This window comes from Homo sapiens, chromosome 5 (genome assembly GCF_000001405.40).
Source record: "Homo sapiens chromosome 5, GRCh38.p14 Primary Assembly".
Classification (NCBI taxonomy): Eukaryota; Metazoa; Chordata; class Mammalia; order Primates; family Hominidae; genus Homo; species Homo sapiens.
This window is the reverse complement of record NC_000005.10, coordinates 91,348,104-91,355,187: the sequence shown is the minus strand read 5'-3', so window position 1 is coordinate 91,355,187 and position 7,084 is coordinate 91,348,104. Positions and strand designations below refer to the sequence as shown.

General features: G+C 43.2%; 1 pseudogene; it reads right to left on the bottom strand.

Annotated features, from left to right (window-relative positions):
- RPS18P7 (ribosomal protein S18 pseudogene 7) lies at positions 215–748 on the bottom strand (annotated as a pseudogene).

Here is a 7,084-nt window from a genome sequence, read left to right as displayed (position 1 = left end):
TGCCACTGCACTCTAGCCTGGGTGACAGAGTGAGACTCAATCTCAAAAAAAAAAAAAAAAAAAAAAAAAGAGGAAGAAAGAGAAGGAAATCTGGCCTCTCTGTCACGTGAGGACACACCAAGAAAGTGGCAGTCTGCAAGGCAGGAAGAGGGCCCTCACTGGGGAACTGAGTCAGCCTGCACCGTTTTTTGTTTTGTTTTGTTTGTTTGTTTTAAGGTATATAAACTATTAACAGACAAGGCCTACAGACTTATTTCTTCTTGGACACACCCACAGTACAGCCACGGTAACAAGTGGTCTTAGTGTACTGGCCTCGGACATGAAGGCCCCAGAAGTGGCACAGCCCTCTTTGGGCCCAAATCTTCTTGGGTCACTCCAGGTCTTCATGGAGCTTGTTGTCCAGACCATTGGCTAGGGCCTGGCTATATTTTCCATCCTTTACATCCTTCTGTCTGTTCAAGAACCAGCCTGGGATCTTGTACTGGTGTGGATTCTGCATCATGGTGATCACACATTCTACCTCATCCTCAGTGAGTTCTCCCACCCTGCTGGTGAGGTCGATGTCTGCTTTCCTCAACACCACATGAGCATATCTTTGACCCACACCCTTAATGGCAGTGATGGCAAAGGTTATTTTACACCACTCATCAATGTTGGTTTTGAATACTCTCAAAATACGCTGGAACTTTTCAGGGATCACTAGAGACATGGCAGCAGCACAGTGGCAGCACGTAGGCCTCCTGTGGAAACAGCCTGCACCTTGATCTAGAACTTCCCAGCCTCCAGAACTGGAAGAAAATAAATTCATGTTGCTTAAGCCAACTAGTCTATGGTGTTTTGTAATGACAGCCCAAGCTGATAAAGACAAGAAAGTGGGGATGCTGGTGTTACCAGTGCTGCTTATCTTCTCCTTTTACTATTAAAATTTCACCTTTGGCCAGGCGTGGTGGCTCACACCTGTCATCCCAGCACTTTGGGAGGCTGAGGCAAGTGGATCACTTGAGGTCAGGAGTTCGAGACCAGCCTGACCAACATGGTGAAACCCCATCTCTACTAAAAATAAAAAGTTAGTTGGGCATGATGGTGCACACCTGTAATCCCAGCTACTCGGGAGGTTGAGGCAGGAGAATCGCTTGAACCCAGGAGGCAGAGGTTGTGATGAACCAAGATTGCACCATTGCACTCCAGCCTGCACAGCAAGAACAAAACTCCATCTCAAAAAAAAAAAATCATCCTTGTGAAGAAAAGGGAAGGGCAACCCTAAAAGTATTTGTTTCTGTACGTGAAATAGCAACTGAGAGGATTATCAAAATTAATGAAGGTTCTTCCTGATTGCATAAGTTCTAACATAGGTGTCTCTGTCCAACTTTGTACCCCTCCTTCATGGTAATAGTGTTCCCTACTCCACAACTTTTAGCCTTGAGGTATGTATGAGCTAATAAACAGTGAGCCTTGGTTAGCTTAATCTTATCACCTTGGCCACCATGAATAGTTTGAGGATGGGCAAATGACCCAATACTCGCCAGAGGGATACAAGAATAATTTGGGGAGGATTTCTGGGAAATTTTCTTGCTCTTGCCAAACAGTTGTCAGGACAGATGTTCTCTCTTCCTCTGGAAATCGTTGTATGTCAAGTTACCTCAGCTGTTATTTACTGTGAAAAAAGCCAGGATATAAATGAAGCAGACACAGACAGGAGCAGAGTTGAGAGACTCAAAATAGAAGTCAAGCTGGAGCCCTGATCTGATTATACCTGAAACCTGACTGCCTCTTGCACTTTTTAGCTTTGTGAGCTAATAAATTTCCTTCATTGCGGAAGCCACTTTGAGTCTGGCCTTTAATTACTTGCAGCCAGAAACATCCTTCTGATAGAAGGGAAGGCTAAGCCCATCACAACGAGATAATTATTATTCACAGGAGAACACTCAGACCTTGTCACTCTTTGTATCTGCACCTGACCCAATTCGACCCCAAATGCCTTCTTTGTAAAGACATTTGTACGTCCTCTCAAGTATTATGTCTCTGCTAATTGCTAGTCCATCTCATAGCCTGAGGCACTTTACTCTGGAGCACATTAAACTGGAACGTACATTAATTTATCCTCTCGGATCAACAAACTAAGGTCTCTGATAGACTAAATGGAACAACAGGATGAACATTTGAGGAGACACTGCAAGGGAGTATATGTAAGAAGATCAAAACTCCACTAAAAGGAGTTGAGAAATGATTGTAAGATCACTGAAAAAAAAGGCCTTAGAAGCAGAATGGGAGCTCACAATGTAATAAATGGAAGCCAATTACAAATGACAGGAGGCCGAGGGGGATATATTTTTGTTATAGTTGGAATAATACACTTTAGCTAAACGCTTGTTGACCCAAGGGTCAGAAGGTGTTTGTTTGTTTTCTTCTGTGTGTATGTATGGTTTTTTGTTTGTTTGTTTGTTTGTTTGTTTGAGACAGAGTCTTGCTCTCTCACCAAGGCTGGAGGACAGTGGCATTATCTCGGCTCACTGCTACCTCCACCTCCTGGGTTCAAGCAATTCTCCTGTCTCAGCTTCCTGAGTAGCTGGGACTACAGGTGCCTGCCACCATGCCCGGCTAATTTTTGTATTTTTAGTGGAGACAGGGTTTCAACATATTGGTCAGGCTGGTCTCAAACTCCTGACCTCAGGTGATCTGCCCACCTTGGCCTGCCAAAGTGCTGAGATTACAGGTGTGAGCCACCGCGCCTGGCCATATGTGTGTGTTTTTAAATAAATTTTGAACACAAACAGAGAAAAGAGAATGGGTGGTGCAGGTTTTTGGGAAAGAGCGGATTTTAGTTGAAAAAGCAGAGGAAGCCCCAGACATTGCACAGTTTAGGCTTTAACCCTGTCCAAGAGGGCCATTAGTGCCTCAGATCTACTCAGTGCAGACCCTAAAGTCCTTCCCACCCCCATGAGCCACCTGTCAGGGTGTACTGAGAAATCAGCGAGGGGGAGCAGAGTCACTTAAGGCCAAGAGGAATTGTCCTGGGGATTGGTTAGTAGGCAGAAGAGAGAGAGAGAAAAAGAAGAAAATCCGCACATGGGGGTCGGATGCCTCCAGGTGAAGAAGGCGAGGCATAGAGATCTCTTAACCACTTTTTATGTAAGGAGGATGTTTCTGGCTGCAAGCAACTGAAGGCAAGACTCAAAGTGGCTTAGGCAAGAAGGAAATGTACTAGATCACAACGCTAAAATGTGCCAGAGTCACATGGCATCAAATATGTTACCAGTGGTAGTTATCCATATGGATCTGCAGCAACCTCAATTCTTGCCTCCTCAGAAGAAAGAATTTGACTAAGGAGCATAAGGCAGAAGGAGACCAAGGTAAGTTTCGGAGCAGGAATGAAAGTTTATTAAAATCTTTAGAGCAGTAATGAAAGGAAGGAAAGTACACTTGGAAGAAGGCCAAGCAGACGACTTGCAAGACCAAGTGCACCTGTTTGTTTTGTTTTGTTACAGATAAGATCTTCCTATGTTGCCCAGGTTAGAATGCAGTGGCTATTCACAGGCATGATCATAGTGCACTACAGCCTCGAATTCCTAGGTTAGAGCAATCCTCCTGCCTCAGCCTCCTGAGTAGCTGGGGGGACTACAGAGAAGTTTAATTTAAAAAACAAATCATTTTGAGTAGGAAAATCCAAAGAGGATCTAATTACTGCAGATTAATGAAGATCTATGAGGAAAAAGTTTAAAACTGGGATGATGTAGCCCAGAGGTCACCAACTTAAGTGCCTTCAATGACGAGATAGGTTCTGTCTAAGTGAATTGTGTGCAGGGGGTAGAACAGGGGATTTGGGCTCTGTCCAATGTACACAGGGGCTACTCAGCTCCAGCTGATTGGTGCCCTCTGGAAACATCAGCTTGTGTTACTGGATTTTCCAACTTTTTTCAAAAGCTGGAAATGTGTGTGTGTGTGTGTGTGTGTGTGTGTGTGTGTGTGTGTGTGTGTGTTGAGAAAGAGAGAGAGAGAGATCAGAAAAAAAAAATCATTTTCAGGACAGAAAAGGAAAGAAGAAAAAAGGAAGTCAGTGAGCCAATGAGCCATGTTCTCAGAATTTTCCTTTAGTGAAGTCATCCTAAAGGAGCCTGAGGATCAGACGGATCACCAGGGCATCATTTTCCACCTATGGTCACTTCTCCTCTTCACCCAACACCTGGAGAACACCCCATGGGGGCACGTGGAATTAACAGACAATGACCAGCCCTACCTTCAGTATGCAAAGGAAAATCATCTGAGGATTTTGTCAAATGCAGTTTCTTACTCAAGCCGGTCTGGGTGAAGCCTGAGATTAGCATTGTCCAAGCAGCTCCCAGACATGATGCTGCTGGTTCACAATTTGAGCAGCAAGATTTTAGAGCATATTTTTCAAACTTTTTTGACCACCACTGCATTTTACTTGGCAAGCTAGAATACATATACAAATGTACACATATAATTGAAACAAAAATTTCAAAAGATGAAACTTATTTCATTACCTGGGTGTACCCTGATGTTTTTTATTCAGTCCCACTATTGTACCCCATTCTATGATGTTATATTTTATTTTGTAAATGTTGGTCATGACTCACTAAATAGATGTTATGGCCCATTAATAGCTTATGATATAGACAAGCCTGGACAACATGGCAAAATCCTGTTTCTACCAAAAATTCAAAAATTAGCTGGCTGTGGCGGCCTGCACCTGTAATCCCAGCTACTCGGGAGGCTGAGGCATGAGAATCACTTAAACCAGGGAGACAGAGGTTGCAGTGAGTCAAGATCGCATCACTGCACTCCAGCCTGTGCAACAAAGTGAGACTCTGTCTCCAAAAAAAAAAAAAAAAACACTTCTATTAAATTTATATTCAAACCCTTTATATTACTTTTTATCATTTAATTATTTAATTTAATTTAATTTTTTCTTTAGAGATAGGGTCTCTCTCTGTTCCCTAAGACTGGAGTGCAATAGTGTGATCATGGCTCACTACAGCTTCAACCTCCTGGGCTCCAGCAGATTAATTAAGATCTGTGAGAAAAAATTTAAAACTGGGATGATGTAGCCCAGAGGTCATCAACTTAAGTGCTTCAGTGACAAGGCAGGTTCTGTCTAAGTGAATTGTGACGATTCTCCCATCTCAGACTCCTGAGTAGCTCGGACCACAGGCACATACCCCCATGCCTGGCTAATTTTTTTTATTTTTTGTAGAGAGGGGTCTCCCTATGTTGCCCAGGCTGGTCTTGACTTTGGCGTCAATCAGTCCTCCTACCTCAGCTTCTCAAATTCTGCAATTACATATGTGAGCCACGAACCCAGCCCACTTTTTTTTTTGATGTGAATGTCTTTCCATGTCTTCAGAGGACAGAGAGAAAAAGAAGAAAGATCTTGTAAACATTGCCTGAGAAACATAGACCATCAGAGATTATAATAACAGCTAACAGGGGCCGAGTACTTACTAACTGCCAGGTGTCTTAGTTCATTTGTGCTGCTATAACAGAACACCACAGAATGGGTAATTTTTGAAGAACAAAAGTTTAATTTTGAAGTTCAGGAAGTTCAAGATCAAGGTGTTGGCAGGTGCAGTTGTCTGGTGAGGGCTGCTTTCTGTTTCCAAGATGGCACCTTGTTGCCATATCCTTCAGAGGAGCACCATGTCCTCACATAGTATGAGGTGAAAGGACAAGCAAACTTCAAAAGACAAGAAAACACTGTGTGAAGCCTCCCTTAAAAGAGCCTAATTGCATTCAGGAGGGAGAAGCCCTTGTGACATAATCACCCTTTAAAGGCCCTACCTCTTAATACGATGACATTGCTCATTAAGTTTCAACACCTGAAATTTTCAGGGGACAAATTCAAACTATAATACCAGGAGTATGGTTAAGCACATTTGCTCCAGGACCAGAACATGGGTTAAGTGTGTAGCTTCCAGAGGCAGATTGTCAGGGTTGTAACCACAGTTTAGCCAGTTACAAACTTGAAACCTTGGACAAGTTACTAAACCTGTCTGTGCCACAGCTTTTTTATCTGTAAAACTAAGATAATAACATAGACTGGTGTGGCAGCGCACATCTGTAGTCCAATTACTGGGGGGACTGAGGCAGGAGGATCATTTGAGCCAAGCAGTTTGATATGGTTTGACTGTGTCCCCACTCAAATCTCATCTTGAATTCCCATGTGCTGTGGGAGGAACCCAGTGGGAGTTGATTGAATCATGGGAGCAGGTCTTTTCTGTGCTGTTCTCCTGATAGTGAATAAGTCTCATGAAATCTGATGCTTTTAAAAATGAGTTTCCCTGCACAAGCTCTCTCTCCACCTGCCACCATCCAGGGAAGATGGGACTTGCTCCTCCTTGCCTTCTGCCATGATTGTGACGGCTCCCCAGCCATGTGGAACTGTAAGTCCGTTAAACCTTTTTTGCTGTATAAATTACCCAGTCTTTGGTATGTCTTTATCAGCAGTGTGAAAATGAACTAATACAGTAAATTGGTACGAGTAGAGTGGTGTGCTGCTGAAAAGATACCCAAAAATGTGGAAGCTATTTTGGAACTGGGTAACAGGCAGAGGTTGAAACAGTTTGGAGGGCTCAGAAGACAGGAAAACATGGGAAAGTTTGGAACTTCTTAGAGACTAGTTGAATGGCTTTGTCCAAAATGCTGATAGAATATGGACAATAAAGTCCAGGCTGAGGTAGTCTCAGATGGAGATGAGGAACTTGTTGGGAACTGGAGCAAAAGTGACTCGTTATGTTTTAGCAAAAAGGCTGGTGGCATTTTGCCCCTGCCCTAGAGATTTGTGGAACTTTTAACTTGAAAGAAATGATTTAGGGTATCTGGCAGAAGAAATTTCTAAGCAGCAAAGCATTCCAGAGGTGACTTGGGTGCTGTTAAAGGTATTCAGTTTTATAAGGGAAGCAGAGCATAAAAGTCTGGAAAATTTGCAGTCCGACAATGTGATAGAAAAGAAAATTCCATTTTCTGAGGAGAAATTCAAGCTGGCTGCAGAAATGTGCATAAGTAACAAGGAGCTGAATATTAATCCCCAAGACAATGGGGAAAACATCTCCAAGGCATGTCAGAGGTC